The 25,737-nt window shown below is 35.0% G+C and overlaps 1 long non-coding RNA gene across 2 annotated transcripts; it reads left to right on the forward strand.

The window, feature by feature from the left end:
• Nucleotides 1-320: 320 nt before the first annotated feature.
• Nucleotides 321-25,737, forward strand: LOC105375146 (uncharacterized). Of its 2 annotated transcripts, NR_187855.1 has the most exons (5): nucleotides 321-536; nucleotides 656-794; nucleotides 21,109-21,200; nucleotides 23,776-23,810; nucleotides 24,183-25,737. It is a non-coding gene; the product is annotated as an uncharacterized LOC105375146 (long non-coding RNA). The 2 variants fall into 2 exon arrangements; NR_187856.1 differs by lacking the exon at nucleotides 23,776-23,810.

The raw sequence follows: 25,737 nt of genomic DNA on the forward strand, positions 1-25,737 counted from the left end.
CAGAGAGAATGTACAACACTTTCTGCTTTCCAATGCTCAGTGTCATTCTCTGTCAGAAAAAATTTACAAGTTGGCTTTCATGTTTGTAAAGTTCAATTCCCAGAATAGTAGGTTATAAATAGTGATTACCATAAAATACGCCACATCTAGATGTTGTTCCAAGAAAAAATATGGAACTGGATTTTGTTATTTCTTTTTCTGGAAATGCACAAATGTGACATAGCTGCTCCTCATTCCACTCCTTATTTTAGGGAGTTCACACATATGTAGATTATTTTACTTAAGAATGGAAGAAAACAATTCATTAGCTGAATTTTCATATAGTAGGTATGAGTCCAAACATCCTCTCAGGAGTTCATTATCTTTTCACCCTGACATTTTAAAACACAATGCAACAGGCTAGGAGAAACGAACTTTGAGTAGATGACCTGGGTTCTAAATTCTAGTTCTGATCAGGGGAGCTAGGATAAGGTGCATGGATCCCCTGAGCCTACATTTTCTCATTTTATAAATAAGGAGACTAAAACCAATAATGTGTAAGTGCAAATTCTAATAGCCTTGGATATATTTGAAGCTAATAAGAAAGATGTTAGAGATAGCAGAATTGAGTTTTCACTTTGGAATTCTTCTAAGTTTTCTGTTCTATTCTGAATAGCTCAGGAAACACTGGACAAGCTGTTTGGGCTCTCTAGCCTTGGATTCCTCATTTGTAAGACAAAGAAGATAATCCTACCCTATTGCCCATGTTGGTGTGGGAATCCACAAAGAAGGACACGGCACTGTTCCAAGTCAAGGTAAGGTGTCTATGAATGGTGACCACTGTTATTATTTCAGAAAATCAGTAATAATACCGAAAATTATGTTTCCCTCTCCTTAGCAATTGCCTTCTAGGAGAAGAGATCTTCTTTCTTTTCTAGTGTAATAAAGTATGATTTGTTACTCTATTGTTGTACCTATGTGACAAATGCATAGCAAACTCAGAAACATTCATTATTGATGAAACAAGAGTCACATACATTAATCATAATAATAAAAGGAAAAGAGAAGTGTAGTCAGTTCTGCTGTAATCCAGCATATGTGTTTCTATGCCAAATTACGCAATAAAAAACAAGCGGCTTAGGGGAGAAAAGAAGTTAGGAGAACAACACTCAGAAATTTCATCAGTGACACATGAAAGACTGGTAGTAATATAATGAAGATAGTAGCACAGTTAAATGCGTAAGGAATGCATAAATACTTCAATAAATATGCAACTTTACCTTAGAAATGAGGTGAGGCTGCTCTTGGAAGGGTTGTGACATGTAAGTTATTGTGGAGTCGTGGAAGGGGGTTATCTGAAATTGGAAGGAAAGTTCTAACACCAGATGTGGGTGTTTGTGGCTCATAACATGTGTGATGAACTGAGGTAGCTGAGAGATAGTTGACTGTGTGCCTGTGTGCATTTTGTGTATTACTGATGGGCTCAGTCCAGCCATGTGCAGCTTTCTGCCTTCTCTTGGTGTTTCTCGCTGACAAAATCAGGCATAATCACACATGAAATTTGCATTATGCTCAAATTGTTCCTTAATATATCAATTTCTTTGGAACAAATTTGTTTTCAAAACAAGCATTATAGCAGAAATGACAATATGTAGATTTCCTCAAACGTATTCCTTATAAAGATTATGTATATATGTATATGTGCATATCTGTATATATAACATTGAAGATGAAAACATAAATAGAATTCACTGAATTATGATTTTCTTTGCTATGATCATAATAAAATTATTCATGGTTGAGTATCTTTGCATAATGCTGCATTTTTTCCAGCACATCAAAGGACATTATTTGTTTAAAAATGCCAAATACTAGAAAAAAAGAATACATCTTACAAAATCCTTATAAGCACTCTTTTGATTTAAACCTTTTTTCAAGTTTCATATGTGTCTCAATTTCCAGCTTCAGTGAAAACAAGAGAGAAGGTGGTGTGGAAGTACAGATACAGAAGAGAAGAGAATAGGGTAATGGAAATTCAGTTTAAAATGCAGACAAATCTGCCGTTTCTGCTTGATAGCCTGTAACATTTCCATGTAGTGCACTTTGCATGGCAGAATAGCTACTAGTAATAGAATTCTCTCACAGTGGAGGTTAATTACTTTTCAGCTACAGCAAAATAAATTTCCTGTCAAGCTCATGGACAGGACTATGCCAGTGTCCCCATTTTTACCTTCAGTTTTAATTCAATGTTAATATCTGACACTTGCTTGCATTTAGTGGGCTGTTCCTCTGAAGAGTCGGAGCCCCAAAGGAACACTGAGGGACTGTCAGTTATGTAGTATCAAAGTACGTGTTAAAAAAGTGGTTTGCCTCTCCCGCAGTGTACCATAAAGAAGATTATCTGACCTGCCTCTTACTAGAGAAAACAGGATGATCCTCCTGGCAATGTGGGAAGTGAAACGAAACACAAGACAAGGAACCAGGGAATTCCATCTTTCCCAGTCCAAAGGGCAGCAAACCCTGGATTTCTATTGCTTCTCACACCGATTGTAGGGAGGCTTTAAGAGTCATTCGTTTCCATCAATTTTCAATTTAATAAGGCCAAGCCCACTGCAAAAAAAAAAATGCTGAACTTTATAGGATAATGTTTCAGCGGCTTCCCTTAATTATCCAGTTTGGTAGCTCAATTTTTCTCCCCCAGTGAAATATCCTGTTTATGACCATCATCGTGTCCTATCATTGGGACAGGCACTATCACAGTCTCTTAATCTGTGCCAAATTTGGCAATCCTGAAGGACAGATGGAATAGGGAAATGATCCTACTTGACTTCCTACTGTATAGAAAACCCTGTTCAGGGAAACAGGAATAAAGAATCAGGAAGCAGGCTGGGCATGGGGGCTCACGCCTGTGATCCCATCATTTTAAGAGGCCGAGTGAGAGGATCACTTGAGCCCAGGAGTTTTAAGAGTAGCTGGACAAACTAGAGCGACCCATTCTCTACAATTTTTTTAAATGAGCTGGGCATGGTGTGGGGTGCCTGTGATCCCAGCTACTTAAGAGGCTGAGGTGGGAGGATCACTTGAGCCGAGGAAGTTAAGGCTGCAGTGAGTGGGCCATGATTGCACCACTACATTCCAACCTGGCAAACAGAGTGAGACCCTGTCTTTAAAAAAGTAGGGGAAAGAAAACAAAGAAGCAGAGTGTACTCTGTTGAAAAGCCCAGACTTCATAGCTAAAATATTTGTGATTGTCAGTAAGAAAAGAACAGATATGAGAAGATATTTTCAAGTGTATTCTTCTTTCTACAATACAGCTCTTCATTTTCAGAATTCCCCGCCCTGCATTCTCTTCCCATTAAAATCTTTTAGTTCGATATATCCGAGTAGTCAACACATAAAACCTATTCTGATTTGGCTAACCTCACTATCCTTTGAAATGCTATAGCGTTCTATCTTATTCTTTACTGTGACACTTATTATATTGTCTCGTATCACAACTTTAGTTTTGGGTTTCATTTTATTTTTTATTTTTAGTTTACTGCATTTTCTAGCATAATGCCTTGCATCTAGTGAATCCTCAATGAGTTTGTTTTTTTTAATTGACTTTTCTTGATACATAATACTCTTCTAGTACAGAGGAAACTGGAGGAGGGGATGCTCCATGCATTAGAAGCTCTTTTATATCTTCAACACTTGATATTAAATTCATTTGAAATTCAAGATTCCTGTAGAAAATGATATTTGACAGTGGATTTCTGAGTGTAAAAACAGTATAAGGTGATAAGTAAATATTTATGTATGTGTTTCTGGGGACTGGGAAGAAAATTACCAAGACCCATTTTACCCTTCCCAAGGTTGAAACCAAACTGAAAATATAATACCTGAGATAGAATAATGGAGATCAGATTATCATTTTTACTAAGCATAAATGTGGCTGACATGCCACAGTTAAATCAAGCTCCCTAAAATTTCACCCCTGGACAACTTTATGCATTGTTTACAAGAGCAATAGAAACCACTCAAGCAAAGTGCATGATGGCAGAGTAGATAAACTAGGTGGGCTTTGTGGACAGGGAATCCAAAAGGCTGAGGCCCACACATATAGGTTCTCCTCTAAACTCACCAACAAACACAGTTACTGCTTTCTGGCTGGTGCAGAAAGGTCTGGGGAGGGAAATGCTTTTCTCTAATAAGAACAGAGAAAAATGTCTTAGGACAGGATGAGTGGGGAGTTACCATTCCTGCCTGAGTCACTATGATGTCCATTTTTATTAACTGTCTTTGATGATGATAGAGAATGGTCTTTGCTATTAAGGGTAAGTATAATTTGGAATTGAATTTTTTCTTAGAAAAAAATAATAGCAAGTGGAAAAACCTTAGTGAAAGTGAGGGAGAGCCCTACAGCCAGATGGAAAGGGATCAGTCTTGGTCTATAACTGCATGTACTGGACAATGCCCAGCTGAAGGAAAAAAACTCTGACAAGCGACAGAAAAATGGAACACATTTCTGAGTATTCTTTTGCCTTGAAATTTTGTAATAATTGTTCAACCATTTGTTTAGTAGTCCAGAGAAATTGCTCATCTGACAGAGTTTCTGAACCTTGAAGATAAAAGTCCTTCTCAGTCATTACATTTCTATTTGGAGTAGGGATGAAGCATGGAAAAGAAGAAATAATGTTAGAAAAATGTTCAAGTACCATTGAGGTAAAACAGTCTGTTATATATACATAACATAGTTATATGTATTCAAAAGTTGTAAACTCTGTTTATATATATGTGTGTGTGTGTGTGTGTCTGTTATATATAACAGTTGCAAACTCTGTTATATATACATAACAGTTGCAAACTCTGTTATACATACATAACAGTTACAAACGCTGTTATATATACATAACAGTTGCAAACTCTGTTATATATACATAACAGTTATATATATATAAAACTATACAATATATATTATATAATATCTATGTTATATATATATAACTTTTTCTGTAAAGAGTCAGAAATTATTTTAGGCTTTGTGGTCTATACTGTTTCTTTCCCAACTTCTCAACTCTTCTGTTATATCAGTAGCTTGAAAGCAGCCAAAGACGTAAATGAATGAGCATTGCTGTTCCAATAAAACTTTATTTATGGGCACTGATATTTGTAGTTTGCATAATTTTTATGTGCCACAAAGTATTATTATTCTTTTGAATTTTGTCAGCCATTCTCAGCTTGCAGGTGATAGAATGAGTTGGATTTGGTCTGTGGACCCTTGTTAGCAGACCTCCAAAACAAAGAGTTCACTGAAATTTGAATTCAATCTTATCCTGAGTAAACCTAGAAAATAAACTTAGTAATTAGCAGTTGTCTACTCTATAATCTACAGCTTAAATTCTGAACCAAAACTCCTTCTCCACTACTGTCAAAAAAAGTTTTGTAAAAGCCAGCGTCCATGAGATTTTTAAAAAACCTACAAAAGAAAAGAAGATGCAGATTATCCATTTTGATTCTTGCCAAACCAACATTTCATTGTATATTTGCACAGGTCTTAACCTAATGGATTTAGAATGGAAAGAAGTAAAGGTTGAGAAATTGTAGAACCTTAAGAATCAGTCTAATTTAGGGGTACAGGATAGGGACTTAGAATTCCTATGAGGGGTACCCAATTATACAGAAAAATGTTAAGCAGAGGTAAACTGATGTCATTTCTCTTCTCGCTTATTTCATGAAAGAGCAAAGGAGTGAACTTCCACTAGACAGCTTCACTACGTTCTGTGGAAGATAAAACTGGAAGTTTCTCAGGGTGTAACTAGCTCAAGCTAAATTTATTCCAGAGCTTTCCATGGGTACCACCTGAACAGGAATGGCAGGGCAGGCAACTGTTATTCATTTAGAAGCTCAACATCCCCTTTTCCTTCTCTCTTTCCATGTCACAAAGCTGCTTTAATGTTCCCTAATCTTGATTTTCTTCTCTCCTTTTCCCCCTGCTTTCCCAGGTTTTGTTCTTCAAATTAATTACAGATTAATATGTAGTAGACACAGGACAATTTTAAGTAAAGAGCAACATTGTATCTTCATTTCTTCCTTCTATTGCCCTTCTCATGGAATAAATGCTGCCGTTTGTGGTGTACACTGATACACATTTGAAGTATAAATATATACACAGAGTTATTTTAATTTTAATTATTTTTACAGTAATTGCATTATCCTATATTTTTCTGTACTTTTTAAAAGCATATTTTACTGTTTTTTATGCTGATTTATTTAATGTCAGTTATGAATATATCATGGACACCTATCAAAGTCAGTAAACAGTTACATTTTTTTTGGTTTTATTTTTTCCCTGCATAGATTTTCATGGCATGGATAAAATATTATGTATGTAGTCTGCCTCTAGTGGGTAAGCTAGGAGAAGATTTCCACTTTTTCTTTTTCCCTTATTTAAAAAAATACATGCATACTGAGGAAGTTAGACTATACGGTCTATACCGTTATTTCCATATCTAAATTTCTGCGATTCTCTGAATGCATTTCCGCTGCATTTTGCCAGGTGCTCTACCAAGAGTAGAGAGAGGAACTGTACTGTAAGCCAGTTTTTTTTAAAAAAAAGAAAACTAAGGAAGGAAGAAAATGCCTATAAAATATGATATGATAGTTATAATAATAAAATAATTATCTGTAAAATACTTTATAATAAATTTAGGTTTTGTGTTCTGGTTATTCAAAAATCTAAATAATTAATAAAAAAGTAATAAATTAACTAAAATGTATGTTAGAGAGGAATATAATTTTAATGTTATTCAATCACATATTTGATTTTTTAAAGGAAAATCATTATTTAAAAATTTTACAAGAAACTTCAGTCTCTCCCTAATTCTTGCTGGTTAGAAGGTTATTGTGCTAAATGGAGAAGGAAAGGTAGCAAAATGTTAACACATTTAAATGGCCTCTAAACTTAACTCTTTACCAATATATATAGGCTGAAGTTTAAAGTGCATATAGGAGCCTCTAAATGGCACAGATTCTGTGTCTCTGGGCAGAAAATCCCATATAATAAGGCCAAAGCAGTTACTGGAAAAGAAAGTTGTGGTTTTAATGCATTGTTACTCTGCTCATAATTTATCTAGGGTTTGTAATTTGCAGATGGTCTGCTGTTCACCTCATTCATCACAGTGCGACACCAAGGAGAGGAAAGCTGTACACACAAAAATTAAAAATCGATTTGTTGCCCTTGGCATGCTTTCATTTCTTGTTCAACTCAGATTGTGTGTTTACCACTTACTGGTTTATTTTGAACTCCACAAAAGAAAAATGAGTCTGTTTGGTTCATCTCCTCCTATAGAAATGGACTCTCTGGTCATCTCTAGGTTTCCCTTCTCATTTTGCATCCTTATTAATGATACTAAAATGTAGAATTGCTGTGGGCTGAAAAGATCACAAGACTTCTGCCATATTTCCTATTTCACGCTTCTGTTGAAAGCATTTACTCTTTTTCAGGAATTATTTGAAGTACATGTAACAACCAACATTTCTTTCACACTCTTGCCAATAATTTGCTACAGAGAGGTGGAATGCTATAGTATTTAAAAGCTCAGACTCTGAAGACAGATTAGCTGAATTCAAATCTAAACTCTACCAACTTTATATGAGTGGCCTTGAGCAAGTTACTTAATTCAGACTATCCATACCAGGCATGGTGGCTCATGCCTGTAATCCCACCACTTTAGGAGGCCAAGGCGGGCAGATCACCTGAGGTCAGAATTTTGAGACCATCCTGGCCAATGTGTTGAAATCCCATCTCTACAAAAAATACAAAAAGTAGCTGGGCATGGTGACTCATGCCTATAATTCCAGCTACTCTGAAGCTGAGGCATGATAATCATTTGAACCTGGCAGGCGGAGATTGCAGTGACCTATCTGCCTGGGTGACAGAGCAAGACTCCACCTCAAAAAAAAAAAAAAAAAAGACTAACCAGGCCTAACTTTATAAAGGGGTATAATAATAGTGCCCCTACATCTTAAAGGCAGCTAGGGGATTAGGAGAGTCATTACTTATAATACTTAGGATACCTCCTGTCACACACCATGAAACTGATAACAATGATTATACATTTTCAGAAGCTTTGGTTACTTCATTCGGACTGAATCTTTGTGCACCCTCTCCCTTCATAAGCTGAAGCCCTAACCCTTGTATGTGGCTGTATTTGGAGATGGGGCCTCTAAGAAAGTAATCAAGGTTAAATGAGGTCCTAAAGATGGGGCTTTGATCTGATAGGTTTGATGTCCTTATAAGAAGAGTCACTCTCTCCATGAGCACTGTGTCTCAAGAAAGGCCACTAAGCACACAGCAAAAACGCAACTGTCTGCAACTTAATAGGAGAGCCCTCGCTCGACACCAGTCATGCTGGCACCTTAATCTTGGGCTTCCAATCTCCAGTACTGTTAAAAAATAAAATTATACTGTTTAAGCCACTAGTCTATGGCATATTCTTAGGGCAGCCTGAGCTAATGAATATATGACCTTCAATTTGTAATATAATTTATAAAATTAGCTGAAAATATTTATTTTACTCAATGAGATTTTTGTTTCAGGGTTTTATCTTCTATATATTTTTTAAAAATTTCATTTTTCCCCAGTAAGAATAGTTTTTGTGCTTACCTAAATTTCTAATTAAGGTAATTCTTAAAAAGACCCAACAGAACCCAAAAGAAAAACCTTATTAACCCAACAGAAAAAGGTGCCTTAAAATTAGGCAAAAAGGTAAGCAAAGCCTGTACGCTCAAAATAAAAGGAAACACTGATCTGCAGATTAATAAGATTTCAATCAAAATCTCAACAAGTTTTTTTTTAAGACATAGAAAATCTTATTCTAAAATATTTATGGAAAGGTACAGGCCCCAGAATAGCTAAAACTACCTTCCACAAGGAGAGTGATGTAGGAGGAACCAGTCTACCTCTTATTAAGTTTGTAAGTAATCAAGACAGTGTGATATTGGTTGCAAAACAGATACATAGAATAATGGAACAAAATAAAGCATCCTGAAATAGACTCTTATAAACACTGCCAACTGATTTTTCAAAAAAGTTAAAATCAATTTAGTGAATTCAATTCATAAATTTGATTTCATTAAATGGAAATGAAGCATTAAATGGAAATGGAGCAGTAGGCATAAAAGCAAATATTGAAGTAAACCTCACACCACATTCAAACATTAACTCAAAATATTTCATGAACTTACATATAAAACTACAAAACTTTTAGAAAAACTATAAGAGAAAATCTTCATATCTAGCTCTAACAACATTCAAACTTGACCCCAAAAGAATACCCTATACAATAAAAAATTGATACACTGGACCTCATCAAAATTAAAAACTTTTGCTCTGTAAAGAAAATATTTTCTCTGTGCAGAGGATAAAAAGGTGAGCTACTGATTAGGAGAAAGTATTTGCAAGTCATGTGATGTGGTTTAGCTCTGTGTCTCCCCACAAATCTCATCTTGAATTGTAGTCCTCATGGGCTGAGGAAGGGGTCTGGTGGGAGGTTATTGGATCATGGGGGTGGTTTTCCCCCTGCTGTTCTCATGAGAGTAAGTCAGCTCTCCCAAGATCTGATGGTTTCAAGTGTTTGACACCTCTTCCTGGCATTCTCTTTCACTCTCTGTCTGTCTGTCTCTCTCTCTCTTGCTGCCATGTAAGACCTGCTTTGCTTCCCATTCCCCTTCCGCCATAATTGTAAGTTTTCTGGGGCCTTCCCAGCCATGTGGAACTGTGAATCAATTAAGCCTTTTTTGTTTATAAATTACCCCATCTCAGAGTTCTTTATAGCAGTGTAAAAATGAACTAATACGTGAAACTTCATAGCAGTACCAAGAGTGGAGCTATAAAGAAACCTAAAAATATGGAAGTGACTTTCAAACTGGATAACAGGCAGAGTTTGGAAGAGTTTGGAGGACTCAGATGAAGATAGGAAGATGGGGGAATGTTTGAAACTTCCTAGAGACTCATTGAATGGTTTTGACCAAAATGCTGATAGTGATATGAACAATGAAGTCCAGGCTGAAGTGGTCTCAGATGGAAATGAGTAACTTATTGGGAACTGGAGAAAAGATCACTCTTGCTATGCTTTAGCAAAAAGACTGGGGGCATTTTGCCCCTGCCCTAGAGATCTGTGGAAGTCTAAACTTGAGAAAGATTATATAAGGTATCTGGCAGAAGAAATTTTTAAGCAGCAAAGCATTCAAGATGTAACCTGGCTGATTCTAAAAGTGTTCAGTCATGTGTTCACAGATTACCTGAAACTGGAACTTATATTTAAAAGGGAGGCAGAGAATAAAAGTATGAAAAATTTGCAGCCTGACCATCACGTAGAAATGAAAATCCTATTTTCTGGGGAGAAATTCAAGCCAGCTGCAGAAATTTGCATAAGTAATGAGGAGGCAAATGTTAATAGCCAAAACAATGGGGAAAATGTCTCCAGGGCATGTCAGAGATCTTCACAACATCCCCTTCCATCACAGGCCCAGAGGCTAAGAGGGAAAAATGGTTTTGTTGGCCAGGCCCAGGGCCCTTGCTCTTCTGTGCAGCCTCAAGATATGGTGCCCTGCCTCCCAGCCACTCTAGCTCAAGCCACAGCTAATGGGGTACAAGGTAGAGCTTGGAACATTAGTCTGAGGGTGCAAGCCCTAAACCTTCGTGGCTTACATGTGGTGTTGGGCCTGTGCACAGAAGATAAGAGTTGAGCTTTTGGAGCCTATGCCTGTATTTCAGAGGATGTAAGGAAATGTCCAGATGTCCAAGAAGAAGTCTGCTTCAGGGGTGGAGCCCTCATGGAGGACCTCTACTAGGGCAGTGCAGAAGGGAAATGTGAGGTTGGAGCCCCACCACAGAGTCTTCACTGGGGCACTGCCTAATGGAGCTAAGAGAATAAGGCCACAATTCTCCAGACCCCAGAATGGTAGATCCACTGACAGCTTGCACCATATACTTGGAAAAGCCACAGGCACTCAATGCCAGTCTGTGAAAGCAACCTTGGGGGCTGCACCCTACAGATCCACAGGGGTAGAGCTGCCCAAGGCCTTGAGATCCCACCCCTTTCATCAATGTGCCCTGGATGTAAGACATGGAGTCAAAGGAGATCATTTTGAAGCTTTAAGATTTAATGACTGCTCTGCTGAGTTTCAGACTTGCATGGGCCCTGTGCCCCTTTGTTTCAGCCAATTTTTCCCATTTGAAATGGGAGTACCTACCCAATGCCTGTACCCCCATTGTATCTTGGAAGTAACTAACTTGCTTTTGGTTTTACAGGCTTATAGGTGGAAGGGACTTCCCTTGTCTCAGATGAGAATTTGGATTTGGACTTTTGAGTTAATGCTGGAATGAGTTAAGACTTTGGGGAACTGTTTGGAAGTCATGATTGGTTTTGAAATGTGAAAAAGGCATGAGATTTGGGAGGATCCACGGGTGGAATGATATGGTTTGACTCTGTGTCTCCACCCAAATTGCGTCTCAAATAATAATTCCCACATGTCAATGGAGGGACCTGGTGGGAGGTGATTGGAACATGGGGGCAATTTCTCTCATGCTGTTTTCATGATAGCGAGTGAGTTCCCCAGAGATCTGATGGTTTAAAAGTGTTTGGCAGTTCCCTGCTGGCTTGCTCTCTTTCTCTTGCTCTCTCACACCTGCTGCCATGTAAAATGTGCCTTGCTTCCTATTTACTTTCCACCATGATTGTAATTTCCTGAGGTCTTCCCAGCCACGCAGAACTGTGAGTTATAAACTCTTTTGTTTATACATTACCCAGTCTCAGGTATTTCTTTATAGCAGTGTGAAAATTGACTAATATATCACATATTCAATAAAGGAAGAGTATCTAGAACTAGTGTTTAGCATTCTCACATTCGACAACAACAAAAATCCTATAGACAATTCAATTAGAAAATAAGGGTAAAACACATGAATAGTCATTTCATAGAAGAGGACATACAGATGGAAATAAGCCAACAAAATCTATTAGAAAAATGCAAATTTAAGCTACAATGAGATTACTGCACACCTGTCAGAAGGGCTAATTTTTTTTTTTAGAAAAGTGACACCACCAAATGCTGAAGAAGACATAAAAAAGCTGTATCATTTATATATTGCTGATAGGAATGTATAATGATACACCCACTCTGGAAATCAATTTGACAAATTCTGATAAACCTAAACACATAATTACCATATGGCCTAGCAACTGCATTCTTGAGTACTTATCCCAGACAAATGAAAAATTTTGTCTGCATAACAAACTGTGCATAAGTGTTCACACCAATTCTATTTTTAATAGCACAGAATAAAAAAAAATCAAAATGTTCTCCAACTGGTAAATTGTTAAACAATTTCCAGTACATCTATAGCATGAAATACTACTTAACAATGAAAAGAAGGAATTATTAGTACTTGCAACAACTTGGATAGATATTCAGAGAGTTGTGCTGAGAAAAAACAAAAGCCAAAAGCCAGTTCCAAAAGGTTATATATACTCTACATTTCCATTTATGCACATTCCTGAAGTGAATAATTATATAGATGAAAAATATTAGTGGTCACCAGGTATTAGAGAATTGCGTGGATGGAAGGAGATAGATGTGGTTATAAAGGGGCAGCACAATAGATTCTTGTGGGGACAGAATAGTTCTTTATATTGACTGTAGTAGGCAGTACAGAACAGAGTGCATGTAAAACTAGTGAAATTCGAGTTTGATAGGTGGATTGAATCAAGGCCAACATCCTATACTACAGTTATGCAAGATTTTACCATTGTGGAGGACTGGGTGCAGGGTATATGGGATCTCTCTCTATTATTTCTTACATGCATTGAATCTACAATTATCTCAAAACAGAAGTTTAATTAAAAAGTCAATGGGACTAAACTAAGAGAATATAAATTGATTCCTTAACTTTGGTATTATACTATCACCACGGTAACTAAGTATTATAAATAAGCACCTGACTCAAGATTCTATACAGCATTGTGTCTAGAATGTATGTAGTGTGTATATTTATTTGTTCTCCTAATAATGTTAGAGCTTTCTAGTCCTTGAAAATTCTAATTTGCATTAAGATTTGATAGAATAATTAAGACTACAGAAATTATCATGCATAGCATTGGTCTCAAGTCCCCCCGTACAAGAGAAGTTGAACTTTTGACATGGATATAAAGCAGACCCAGAAGGCTGCTGTTAAGTATAGTTTGATTCTTGGATTCAATTTCTGAGCACTTTGAAGTCATTTTATGCCACTTGACTCAAATCATTCATCTCAGTGAAAATTTGTTAGTTAAATGTCAGCTTCTTGGTGTTAGTCTATAGACTTCACGGAGGGAACCAAGACTGTCTAACAATATTTAAAAAGACACTTCTAGCTCAGGCAGCATGCCGGAGCAACAGAGGACCTGTGGAATATCCTGGCCGTAGGCCAGTTTTGCTAGCAATAAATATACCAAGAAGAAATAAATAATACATTTAACACCCTCGGTGAATTGTAGCATAATTCCTGAGAAGAAAATCTTCCTGGCTTTTGTAAATATTTTAACATTCTTTCCAATTTCTAGTAATATGGTGATTCAGGAGTAGCTACTACTGTCATTTGTAAAAGACGTAATGGAGATTTGTGGCTTAAAGTAGCTCTCTGCATGTGCTGCAGGCTGTCTACTTTGAGGTACTATCTTATTCTCCCTGGTTTCAAAGACAGCCTCTATGGTGATCACTCTCTGTTATTTTCTCACTGATTGTGGCTGATGTTAATAATAATTACAAGATTCATCTGTACTTTAATTGTCAACAGAATCAGGAAGAACAATATCTAGGCAGGAGTAATTACAAGTAAATCTAAAGAAATGAAATGTTAGTTTTCAAACTTAAGCTAGTTTCAGCTATCAAACAGACAGCAGATTATAGTTGCATGTTAGTGCATTTAAGAGGATGCTGGCAGTATTTTAAAATAATTAATAATATTATAATACACATGCTCTATTAAGGACCAAAAACATCTCTCCTTTAAGAGATATTGCAACTGAATATATATTTGGTCTATTCATGAGAACATGTGTAATTGTTAAGATGACATTACTTTTCAATTAGAGTCGTTGCTAGATATCAATATAACCTGTTATAAAAAGAGTTATTTCATCACATTATCACTTAATAGCTTGACAACTAACATGTCTCATCATTTTTACTTTATTGTCTCAAAGTTTTAATTACTACAATAAATACATGTTGTCTCCATCAGTAGATTTTTTTTAAAAAAAATAGTAAATATTTTGATACAGTAGGCAACTGAAAATATAGGTACATGGCAGCTTATTTAGGGGAGAAGTAAACAGAATAGAAAGAAAATTAACTTTTACAGTTCTGACGATAATGAAGACAAGGTTTCTTTTTTTTAAAAGTCATTTAGACAGTATCTTTTAAAACCAACAGTAGCTCTTTGTCATTCTCTGCATGCTCCAAGATTCCTTCTGTCTAATACACAATTATTAACAAAAACTCTATCTTCTAATTTTGGCTGCCTTAAAAACATTAGCAGGGGCCATTTATCATCATATTTCTTATTAAAGCTTGGAAGAAACACCACATAGCAGTGTATCTTGGAAGTTGGAACTGTGAAGAAAATCACTGTCTGTTATTTTCTCACCGATTGTGGCTAATATTAAAAATAATTACTATTACAAGATTTGCCTGTACTTTAATTGCCAATTTTCACAGATCCATTGACTTAAAATTTCATTCTTATCTTGTAGAATTATTCATAGTTGTCCTTTCCCCCCATTATTTGGATGTCCTAGAGTTATCCAAGATAGCATTTTGAGTTTCCCTTCTCAGCTGTCCTGGCAAAATCAGTTCCCTAATGAAGATGTATGGAACAGCCACTGGGCATTGCCACAGTATGTTTTAAAAAAACACACAAAAATAAGTTTGATCTGTTTAGACTGACAACACAGTAAAAAATCTGATGTGTTTCTTCATTTGTTATTTATTCTTCTTATTAGTTTTTTTTCCACTTATTAAAGGTTCTTTAGAGACATTTGCCTTCAATATTCTGCCTTTAAGTTATTCTTTTCAGCAAATGATTGATCATTGCTCTCATACCATAAAGAGGTGACAGTGTTTTCTGTTCTGAATGTGTGGTATAACTGAAATCAAGCATTCTCCTTTCAGTGGTCTGAATCTTTCCAGAGCTTTTTCTTTCTTTTTTTTTTTCTTTTTTCTTTTTTTTGAGACAGGGTCTGGCTCTTGTTGCCCAGGTTGGAGTGCAGTGGCGCAATCTGGGCTCCCAGGTTCAAGCGATTCTCCTGCCTCAGCCTCCCGAGTAGCTAGGATTACAGGAACGTGCCATCATGCCCAGCTAAATTTGTATTTTTAGTGGAGACAGGGTTTCACCATGTTGGCCAGGCTGGTCTCCAATTCTTGACTTCAAGTGATCCGCTCACCTTGGCCTTTCACAGTGCTGGGATTACAGGCGTGAGCCACCACGCCCAGCCCAGAGCTTTCTTATTACAGAAAGCCATAAAAAATATGAACATAAATGCTTATTTTCCTCTTTTCCAATATTAATGTTAGCATATTGTATATCACTACCAGCAATTTTTCACTTAGACATAGTTGTTTAATAAAACATGTTGAGCATCTCAATTCATTTTACTCATGCTTATAGGTGCATCATATTTTAATACTTATTGACCAAGTTTTTTTTTTTTGCTGCACTATACCATGCTTTGTTGAATAACCATATATATATATGTGGTTTTATATATATATATACACACACATATATATGTGTATATATATATGTATATATATGTGTATATATATGTGTATATATGTGTATATATGTGTATATATGTGTGTATATCTATGTATATATATGTGTAATATATATATGTGTATATATATATAGCATTTATTGGCCACTGGAGGTTAAATTCCTAGATGTGACAGACGTACTACATATGTGATGTAATGTTTGAACGATATTATAAAATTAAAATCTAGGGCAAAGTTTCTTAACAGCAACACTATCGACTTTTTAATTATTGGCCAGATAATTTTTTATGGAAGCCATCCTATGTATTGTAGGGCATGGAGCAGTATCCTTGGCCTTTACCCACTAGATGCCAGTCGCAACCCTCTCTACAGTTATGACAATCAAAAACATGTACAGATATTGCCAAATTTTCTCTGGGAGGACAGAATCATTCTAATTCAAAACCTCTGTTCTAGGTTGTCTTACCAATTTATAGCACTGCTTGCTGGGTAAGATTATCTATTTTTCTTACCAACAAGGTATATAATCAAACTTAGAAGTTTTTGACAATTTTATCAGAAAGGGAATAGAATATCTGCAACATTTCCATTTTAATTTCTCTTATTATAAGAGAATGAGCATTCTGTCATTTTTTGCCCTTTCTATATCTGTTCTTTACACTGTTTATTTTATTGTTAGTCTATTTGTACTTTCAATTGAATGTATTTTTAATAAATTTTTAAGACTTTTGTATCTTAGAGTGGTAACTTCTTTGAAATATAAATTAAGAATGCTTTTTGAGTTAGGCATTTGTTTTCTGGTTTTCATTATGCTGTTATGATTATGCATATTTTAAAAAATCTTTTATTTGGTTGCATTTCTCAATCTTTAATTTTATGACTTCTGAATTTTGAGCCATAATTGGAAAGGCTCCCTTGGTCCATGATTTTTAAGGTGTTTACACATATTTTTGTCTAGTACATTTATAGCTTTGTTTCTTATATGAATCTGCCATCAAATGTGAAATTTATCCAGTATTCAGGGTATTAATCTTCTTTCTGCAGAATTCTTTATTATAATCTTTAAAGTATAGTATTCTTTTATGCATTATTTCCTTTTAGCTAGCCAAAACACAATTAATCAAAAGACCATTGATTTAGAGGCTACTTGCAAGTGTAGTCTAAAATTACTTTCTAGTCTTTAATATAATTTTTAGATTCTATTTCAGACTCTGTGTAAAGGATGTGGTTAGTAGGTCTGTATTCTAATTTTAAATATAAAGTTTTGCATTTTTTAATAGTAAAATTGTATTTTTTACAGTTTTTTTGGGATAGGTCATATTCAAGACTCTCAAATGGAGATTTCTAAGAAAAACTTTATTATTATTATATTTGAAACTTATGAGATGATATGTGAGAACTCCCTTCTAGAGTTTATTGGATTTTAATATGAGAAGTATAATATGTATCCTGTGAAGATCTGCCTGTGCCTTTAAAAGGAATTCTTTTATAATAAGAACCACTGCATATAGAAAAAAAAACTTCCTCCTGAGCCAGGTTTATTTTTAGGTAAAACCACAGAATCTAATCAGGCTTCCTCTTATAATGTAAAGTGGAAATATAAAGATGCCTGATTATTTTGTGTTAGGACCAACCGTTTCATTCTATCATCTGTCTTTTTCCATCACCTCCAGTGTGATATCCTGGAATGGGGCTCCTGACACATAATAGAAAGCTTCAGAGGAAACATTAATATGTTCCTTAGTTCAAGTAGTTCATGTTATCACAGAAGCAAATGAAAAGTCTCCCAACCTTTTCATTTACTTCTATGACAACATGCTCTGAGAGGAAAGATTCTTGCTAGCTGTTTTAGTTTTAAATTAAGTGCCATGAATGGTTTCATTTCTGGATCACCCATAGCAACCATTACATGCAAGTGCAAGATGAGCAATGGGTGCATGTGAAATTCTCAAGAATTTAAGTTCAAGAGCTCTGAATTATTAACTAGAACGTTTTGTTAGTTTGGATTTAGCAAGCTAGGGGAAATTTTACACCATTTATTTATTAGTTTCTACCTTCTTTTCGACTTTTAAAAATCCATGTCCTTTAAAAATATTAATTCTTTATGCATAACCCTACTAACAGTAAAAAACACATTTCAGATAGGTTTGGAGTGTGTTTCAGTGGCCTCCTGACAGAAGCAAGAAAGCTTCAAAAAGAAAGTGGAGTAAAGATCACGATTTTACACCTGTTACCACTTTTCACTTTTTAGAACCTCATGTTAGAAGTGACGAGTTTTAATTTCTGCTGATATTGCAGTTATTCTCTGTTTAAAATTTACTGGTCATTTGTTTACTTATTATTTTTCTCCACCTAATTTGTTCTTTCCCTGTTCTTCTCAGGAGCCTAGGAGCCCTAATGAAAACAGAGCCTTGGCTTCTGACAGCTTGACATTGCCCAGATGTGCCTGCAGATTAGAGTCCACACTGATGCTTGATAGGATCTTGGGGGAGGCACTTCACCTCAATGTGTAAATTTCTAATTTCTGAAGTCCTGTATTTTTTTCTAATTCAGCAGTTCTATAAAATACACTTTGATTATGATTTAAGCCAGGAGGTGGCAATTTTTGTTATGGAGTGCCAGATAAGCAAATATATAAAGTTCCATGAGCCATTTGGTATCTGTTATAACTACTCAATTCTGTCATTATAGTGTGAAGGGAGTCAGAGACAATATGTAAGCAAATGAATGTGGCTGTGTTCTGATAAAACTTTATGCACAACTGAAATTTCAATGTTATACAATTTGGAAGAGTCATAAAACATTATTCTCTTCTTGAATTTTTTCAACCAGTAAAATCATGTAAGAACTATTTTTAGCATGAAAGCTTACAAAGAACATGAAAAGGGCCAGATTTAGTCCACAGGACATATTTTACCAACACTAACCCTAAGCAGTGATTATCAAGTTTGAGTGTGCATTGGAATCACCTAGAAGACTACTTTAAACAGATTGTTGGATTTTACCTCCAAAATTTCTGACACAGTAATTCTGCATGGGGCACAAGAGTTTTTATTTTTAAGAAGTTCCCAGCTGATACTAATGTTGCTGGTTTGGGAACCACACTTTGAGAACCACAATCTAGATCAGAGATTGGCAAACTTCTTCTGAAAAGAGCCAGATAATACATATTTCCAGCTTTCCGGACTCTGAGGTATCTGTTGTAACTACTAAACTCTGCCACTGTAGCACAAAAGCAGCAATACGCCATACATAAATTAGCGGATATGCTGTGTTGTAAAGTTTTGTTTACAAAAACAGGCAGCGGGCTGGATTTGGTATATGGATGTAGTTTGTAGTTTGCTGACACATGATCTAGAAGACTGCCTCTCCGTTTTTGTTTGTTTGTTTGTTTGTTTGTTTTGAGATGGGGGTCTCACCCTGTTGCCCAGGCTGGAGTGTAATGGCCTGATCTCAGCTCACTGCAACCTCCACCTCCCCGTTCAAGCGATTCTCCTGCCTCAGCCTCACGAATAGCTGGGATTAGAGGCGTGTGCCATCATGCCTGGCTAATTTTTGTATCATTAGTAGAGACAGGGTTTCACCATGTTGGCCAGGCTGGTCTCAAACTTCTAACCTCGTGATCCGCCTATCTCAGCCTCCCAAAGTACTGGGATTACAGGCGTGAGCCACCGCGCCCAGCCGAAGACTGCCTCTCTTATTCCAGATAAGTAATTAAAGAATCTATCAACATTATGGTGAATAAAGTCTGTTTGTACATAATGTTCTGAGCATAAAATGATAAAAACAATTCCAAAAAGTGAGTTTTTAATAAATAATTTATCACCAATAAATTAAATAGATCTATGTCAGACTTCCCTGCTAATACTGAGAAATTAACAACCATAGAAAAGATGTCTGAGCTAACTGATGAAATGTGCATACAAATAAATAAAAAAAGCAATTATTTCTCTTGTTCTTTCATTCCTGTTCTGCTAGCTGCTAAGAAATAGGTTTAATTATTTTCGTTTTAGATATTTACCAAATAGCTTGAGATCTGGTACTACAAAAAAATTTCTATAAATTATAACTTTTCCCCAAATTTTCTGACTCTACTTTGATCATATATTCTAAAACATTTCTTTGGATATAGCTTCCAAACATTTTACTGAGTTTTACATCATATATACATATATATGTGTATGTATATGTATATATATACACATATACATACACACACATACATATATATAAAAATTATATATATGTGGGTGTGTGCATATATATACTAATATATGTGTATTATGTACATGCATAATATATACATATGTACATAAATATATAGTATACATATATAATAGTCATATGTAAAAATAATATAATGCATAATCTTATCAAATATCACAGATAATCTGAGAGGATATCCGTGTATGTTCATGTGCACACATGCATACATGCTTAAAACTCTATTAATAATTTCCCAAACCAGCTCAATTTTCTGTGGGCCTGTTTTCCTGTGTGGTAGGCTAATTTTTCTTTTCCTTTGTACATTTCTCAAGTATCTGGTGATTTGATTTTTTATTAATAGCATAAAATGAGAGGACAGGAATATTTGTAGAGCCTTGTAGATAGGTGAGTGGATGGGTTTACATTAGGCTGAGTAGGTAGGTAGCCACCTGTTACCCTGGAATTATCTAAATACTAAATTAGAAGGCTTTACTCTGAGGTGCAGTGCTAATACTAACTGTCCTAATTCTTCTAAATCCCTTATCATATCAAGTTTTTTTTAGGAAGATAATCTTCTGGTATTTTGCCTGGTGTAAATGCCTGGTGGCAGATACAATTTCCTTGCCTAGAATTCCAATGAACGGCCTTGTTTAAAAACTCACTGCTGTCTCCAGTCCCCATTGTACTTTCTGTCTTTGACTACTTTCAAGCTGATATATAACGTCATGTTATTTCCACACATGCACAACATCCTCATATTCATTTTGCAGAGAACTCAAGACTATTACAAAAATACAATCTGGAAAAAAAAAAAGGAGAAGGGTCCTAGAACTGAGAAGTATTGACGAATGTGAATGTTTGTATCAAAGAAAGAGTCCCTTAAAATTAACCAATCAATAAGCACTGCCACCTCTAGTTTATTAAATTTACAACTGAGTGATCAAGTTAACAAATTGTGTATTGCTAATGTTTTTGAGGTGAAAATTATTTGACTTTTAGAAATCAAGGCTACATTTTCTCAATTCAGTCTCAACTATCAGGTTATACTGTTTCTGTTCTTCTCATATTCAAGCCACATTACTCCCTGAAGACTTAAGCCTGTGCTTGTTATTTTCTCATTAGGTTACAGGGAGAATGGAACAAGTTTCAGTAGAAGAAACTTCACCTAACCTCTTTAATTCCAACAGTTCTTGAATTTCCTGAAAAATCTATTGGTAAGTTTTCCATCCAAATTCCAAGTGGATTACAAGTGTTGTAAATGCCTTTGGTTTGATATGGTGTGATGGTACATGTCAAAGTCACTTGCCATCAAGTCTAATTTATTACTTTATTGAAAAGTTGGACATCTTGAGGTTCAGCTTAATTGAGATTGCTCATTATAAGCTATCATCCCAGAATGGAAATATAGAGTGAATGCCACTTTAAGTGCAGGAGGAAAAAGTTTCAACCATAATGTAAAAATAGCATCTGATGAGCAGATAAGAATCCTGTGTACGGCACGCTATTATCAGCAACCACAACTGCTCCTACTGTAGCAGTTCTGTAGCACAAGCTCTGCAAAGGAAGCCAAAGCAATCATAAGCATTTTTATAGCAAGGCTGTTCATGCTTTTATAGTACTCATTGTGTCAGCACTTTAATTATAAAATCTCTTTTGTCAGAGATTATAGCAAAGCTGTAAACCCACCAAAATTAGTCTTTAAAAACTCACTTGTTTAATATACAATAATTGAATAATATTTTTAATGCTTACCAGAGTTGTCCATGTATCAAATGGAAAAGCACATTAATATGTGCAATAGTAAGGCCCTTGCAAAAGTGGATGCCCAATAAAAACAAAATTAAATAATTCAGAAATGTTTGGAAATATATAGTACTTATAGGCAATATGCAAATGGAAAATTGTTATAATATATACAATATTTTGTGTTAATATTTAAAAATAATAGGTTAGAGCCCACATTACCGATTACATAGCATCTCATATTTTCAGTTCATGGAATTTATATAAATTGCAATTAGGTAAATACCACTGTGTGCTTTTTGAAATGTGTTTAAAATAAGACTGCAAGTCAAGAGAGACAGTAATCACATCTTTCTCAGTTTTATTCCCAGTGATGTACATCTACTTTTGCCCATAGTATGTTTTCAAGTTGAATTAAGAATCAATAAACTTATGATGTATAGATTAACAAGTAACTTATTGGTCAACAAGGAACATACATATCATCACTTTATAATAATCGCTCATTTCATCCCATCATTTCAGTTTCTGAGAAAGCATATATAATTTGACATATGAATAAAATCACATGCATAAGAAATTTATTTTACCTTAGTACATATGGATGTTTTCATTTCACTTACATAATTTTTCTATATTTATTCTGAGTAATTAGTTTCTTATATGTCAACAGGAGAACAAATCTGGTTTTGAAGATGAATTATCTATTGCATCCAAATATGGGTTTGGTTGCTAAGAAAAACATTTAGCCTCATTTTTTGAAAATTCTAACGTTATCTTCCACTTTAAAATACTATTAGAATAGGTTCTAATTGTGAAGTTTTTATACAACAACATCCGGATCTAAATCATCAGATGAAGTGTCCTAGACTGCAGAGTCAAGAACATCATGTAGGGTTATCTTTCGTTAGTCCACAGGGGGCAGTGATGCTGGGGGCAGAGCATAAGGGGTAGTTAGGGAAGAGGACTTTTATTGTCTCCAGTGGTGCGGTTATTCAAAATTCTATTAAGATTAATATAATTTAACTTAATTATCTACTAAACTTAGTACATTTAAAAGTTAAGTATATAAAGGTAATATTTAAAACGTTAAAAACATTTTAATCTAAACTGAGGAACAGAATTTGTAAATGTATTTGCTGTCCTTTATAGGAAATCATTATGAAATAATGCTAATATAAATTATAAAACATTTTGAAACATTCTTTTCTGTACAGGTGACAAAAACCGATCAAACCCTCGAACCTCACATTAGATCTGACACAGCTTGTCTCACTTGTACACCTTTTTTTTAATCCCCCTCATCATATATGTCATAAATTGAGAATGGTGCTTACCTCAGATCCAGAGCCAATGGCTATTATTAGATTGTCACAACATTAAAACTTTTAAACTATGAAGTACTTTTTATAGAAATTTTTCTATAACATTACATACAAAGATATAACTGTAGCTTGCCTGACAGAGCATCTTAAAGATGAATTGTTGCTTAGAGTGGTTTAAAGTGAAAGAAGTTTATGCAAAAGAGCTATTCAAAGACTGTAACACTGGTGAATTTCAAATACCACAGCCTATTGCATTTGTGTGTGTGTGGGGGGGGGGGGGGCGGGGTGAGGCCACCTGAAATCTACTCTGTTAGCAAATTTCCAGTACACAATTCAGTATTATTAATAGTCATTGAGCTGTACATTAGGTCTCTAGATTTATTCATCCTACCTAACTGTAACTTTGTATCCTTTAACTAACATCTTTGTATTTCCCTCATCTCCCTGCCCCTGGTAATCACTGTACTATTTGCTGCTTCTTTGTATTTGACTTTTTAAAATTCTGCATATAAGTGAGATTATGCAGTATTTATTTTCTGTGTCTTGCTTATTTTGTATAATGTTTTCCAGGTTAATCCATATCATTGCAAATGGTAGGCTCTCCTTTCTTAGAACTGAATAACATTTTATATTGCTTCTATATCTTAGCTGTTATGAATAATGCTCCAATACAGATGGGAGTGCAGATATCTCTTTGAGGTACTGATTTTATTTCCTTTAGGTGTATACTCAGAAATGGAACTGTTGGATCACATGGTAATTTTATTTTTAATTTTTTTAGGAACCTCCAAACTGTTCTCAATCATAGCTGTATCAATTTACATTCCCAATCATGTACAGGGTTCCCTTTTCCTCAAACCCACCCCAACACTTGCTATTGCTTCTCTTTTTGGTAATAGCCATCCTAACAAGTGTGAGGTAACATTTCATTGTGGTTTTAATTTGCATTTACCTGATGATTAATGATGTCGATCACATTCTTATATACTTTTTGGCCAATTGTATGTCTTCTTTTGATAAATATTTAATTCTTTTTTCCCATTTTAAATTGGGTTATTTGGGTTTTTTCTTACTGAGTTGTATGTTCCTTTTACATTTTTGACATTAACTTTTTATTATATTTTTCAGATGGTTTCACAGCAGTTTCAATGTTTTAAACGATAGTAGTTTCACCACCTAAGAAGTTGTCTTTCAATAAGAAGACCAAAGAGGAAGATATAAAAAGACTTATTTTGGTGTATCTCTAGGGTATTCCCTAAGAACTGGTATACAATGGGTCTAGATATTTGAGGAAGTCTGAGTTGATGCATAGGCAGGTATGGTCAATATGAAATTAGGCTTATCAGCCTGATTTGATTCTTACTCAGACTGGTAAGAACTGAGGATATAAGGGCTGAGGACATAAAGGTCACCCCAGATAGCCATCTTGTGCTGAACCTGCTTTTTGGCAGGTAAGTTCTTGCCAACCCTAATTATTTCTGCTAACTCCCTTTGTATTTCCAGTACCACCGTACTCAATTAAAGATCCAGACTCATCTCTTACAATAGTAAAACATACCTAAGATCAGGCTATAATGTTTACACAAGTTTATTATTACCTTTAGTATTTTATTCAAATAATATCACAAAGCATTAAAAATTTCAGAAATAAACCTATAGACACACCCCTAAAACTTTATATGAATATCTCTGAGGCAATAGGCCATGGTTCTCTGCAGGTTAGTGGTGCATTGTTCACTAGCTGTTAAATTATTCAGTGCTTACACAGTCTCCAAACCAAATGTATACTTTTCTTTTTTCACTCCCATTATCTAAGTAGTCACCATAAAATAGCAATATTTACCAAAAATATCTCTCATATCTGTTCCATCTTCTCCAATTCAATAGAATTGTCAGTGCTAAAAAATCTACTATTTAGCTTAAGCCTCCTTCAATTATTTATTTTTCATAATGGGAGACACTGTAGCACAACTGTTAAATACACAAGTTCTAGACTTAGACTGTGCGTGGTTCAAATTAACGTCTGACTAGTGGTGTCATCATTGCCAAATTACTTAATTTCTCTGACCCATTGCAGAATTAACAAAAAGTACAATAATTATGATGCCTACTCCTGCAAGCATTAAAACAAACATGCCTATATACACATATATGTAAAATGTGTTTTATAATATCTGGAACAAAATGTCCATTCAATAAATATTAGCTACTAGTATTATTGCCATTATTATCTCCAAAATTTAGCTCAAATATTTCTTTTTCAGTTACAATTTGAATATCTCTGGGAAAAATGTCAATCATTTTACTCTGTCTTGTGATGTCGTCTTGTGAAATGTATTCTTTTTTTGGCACTGATAATATTAAATGGATGAAATTTAAAATAACAGGTATTCTCTCTGAAGAACAATTTATGCAACTTGAAGATGGTCCAAATACAAATCATATCTGATGGTTAACCAATGATACTGACATCTGCCTTCCTGAAAGATCAATAAGATTGGAGAAGATTATTATAATTGGATGAGTGATGACATCACAGGGCATTTTCTATCTGTAAATGATAGAAAATGGTGTTTACACTTACCTGGGAAGTAGATTTTTAATATGGATAGAATTTAAAAGATTTAAAACATGTACACCTCTCTAGATTTTGAAGTGTTATTATAGTCAAACTAATAATAAG

The sequence above is a fragment of the Homo sapiens genome, chromosome 7 (assembly GCF_000001405.40).
Source record: "Homo sapiens chromosome 7, GRCh38.p14 Primary Assembly".
Classification (NCBI taxonomy): domain Eukaryota; kingdom Metazoa; phylum Chordata; class Mammalia; order Primates; family Hominidae; genus Homo; species Homo sapiens.